Source organism: Homo sapiens, chromosome 19 (assembly GCF_000001405.40).
Source record: "Homo sapiens chromosome 19, GRCh38.p14 Primary Assembly".
Taxonomy (NCBI): Eukaryota; Metazoa; Chordata; class Mammalia; order Primates; family Hominidae; genus Homo; species Homo sapiens.
Window position 1 is genome coordinate 40,980,389 of NC_000019.10, and position 2,139 is coordinate 40,982,527.

At 46.9% G+C, this 2,139-nt stretch overlaps 1 annotated feature.

Moving 5' to 3' along the window:
* Positions 524-1,387: an enhancer, noted in NCBI's record as "NANOG-H3K27ac-H3K4me1 hESC enhancer chr19:41486817-41487680 (GRCh37/hg19 assembly coordinates)". NCBI's record gives its function as "activates a minimal SCP1, AML or CMV promoter by ChIP-STARR-seq in naive H9 embryonic stem cells {active_cell/tissue: H9 hESC(naive)}" and the evidence as "EXISTENCE:reporter gene assay evidence [ECO:0000049][PMID:30033119]".

The following is a 2,139-nucleotide window of genomic DNA, read 5'->3' on the forward strand; positions in this document are numbered from 1 at the left end:
TATAGGCCCCATGCAGGTCCAAAGTCCAGCAGGGCAGTCAAATCTTAAAGCTCCAAAATGATCTCCTTTGACACCATGTCTTACATGCGGGTCACACTGTTGCAAGAGGTGTGTTCCCATGACGTCAGGCAGCTCTGCCCCTGTGGCTTGCAGAGTACAGCCCCGCTCCTGGCTGCCCTCACGGGCTGGCATTTTGTGTCTGTGGCTTTTCCAGGTGCACAGTGCAAGTTGTTGGATCTACTATTCTGGGGTCTGGACGACGGTGGCCCTCTTCCCACAGCTCCACTAAGCAGTGCCCCAGCAGAGGCTCTGTGTGGGGGCTCCAACCCCACATTTCCTTTCTTCACTTCTCTAGCAAAGTTCTCCATGAGGACTCTGCTCCCTTAGCAGACCTCTTCCTGGACATCCTGGTGTTTCCATACATCCTCTGAAATCTAGGTGGAGGTTCCCAAACCTCAGTTCTTGTCTCCTGTGCACCACAGTCCCAACACCACGTGGAAGTTTTGAAGGCTTGGGGCTTGCACCCTCTGAAGCAAACACTTGGCCAGCTTTAGTCAAGGCTGGAGTGGCTGGGAGGCAGGGTACCAAGTCCCAAGGCTGCACATAGCAGGGGATCCCTGGAGACATTTTCCCCATTGTCTTGGTGATTAACATTCTGCTCCTGGTTACTTATGCAAATTTCTGCAGCTGGCTTGAATTTCTCCCCAGGAATTGGGGTTTTCTCTTGCATCTTCAGGCTGCAAATTTTCCAAACTTTTATGCTCTGCTTCCTCTTGAATGCTTTGCTGCTTAGAAATTTCTTCTGCCAAATACCCTAAATCATTTGTATCAAGTTCAAAGTTCCACTGATCTTTTGGGCAGGGGCAATATGCCACCAGTCTCTTGGCATAGCAACAGTGGCCTTTAGTGCAGTTCCCAACAAGTTTCCCTTCTCCATCTGAAACCACCTCAGCCTGGACGTTATTGTTCATATCACTATCAACATTTTGGCCAAAGCCATTCAACAAGTCTCTAGGAAGTTCCAAACTTTCCCACATTTTCCTGTTTTCTTCTGAGTCTTCCAAACTGTTCCAACCTCTGCCTGTTACTCAGTTCCAAAGTAGCTTCCACATTTTTGGGTATCTTTAGAGCAGTGTCCCACTCCCAGTACCAATTTACTGTGTTAATCCATTCTCATGCTGCTAATGAAGACGTACTTGAGACTGGGTAATTTATAGACAAAAAGAGGTTTAATGGACTCATATTTCCACATGGCTGGAGAGGCCTCACAATCATGGTGGATGGCAAAGAAGTAGCAAAGGCACGTCTTATATAGCAGCAGGCAAGAGAGAGCAGCAGGCAAGCAAGGGAAACTTCCTTTTATAAAACCATCAGACCTCATGAGACTTATTCACTATCAGAAGAACATCACGGGAAAACCCGTCCCCATGAGTCAATCATCTCCCACAGTGTCCTTCCCACAACGTGTGGGGATTATGGGAAATACAGTTTGAAATGAGAATTGGGTGGAGACACAGCCAAACAATATCACTAGGTATCCATATTTTCCAGATAAGGAAACTTTAGGCTCCAAGCTGAGCTTGCACTTGCCTGAGCATCTTTAGCACAACAAATGAATGACAAAGCTGGGATTTGAACTCAGGTATGTCTGACTCAAATTAGTCCTTTATTCTGACTTCCCAGAGTGTGCCCCTCAGAGCCTTGGACCTGAGAAATAGTGACGAGTGCTGTGATGGAAAAGAAAAAGCTGAGAAGCCAAATAGTCCGCACAGCTGCTGTCAGCCCCCTCCCCTCTTGATGTTATTTTAAAGGCACATAAACATTCTAAAGACCCTGAGAAGTCCTGCAGGTGAGAAATTGGCTTCCTGTCATTTAACCCAGTTTCTCCCTTGCTATTTACCTGCAGAATCCCTTTTCTCCAGAACTTATTCTCTTCCTCTGCCTCTCACACTCTCTCTCTTTCTCTCTGCCTCCTACTCTTTACTATCTCTCTCTGTCTCCACATTCTGCTGAGAGAGGCATCATGGGGTAGTGATTAAAACAGTAGGCTGTAGAACCAAACTTTCTGGGTTTGACAACTGATTCTACCTTTAGCCTGCTGCGTGACATTGGGAGAAGTCTCAACCCCTCTGTGTTTCA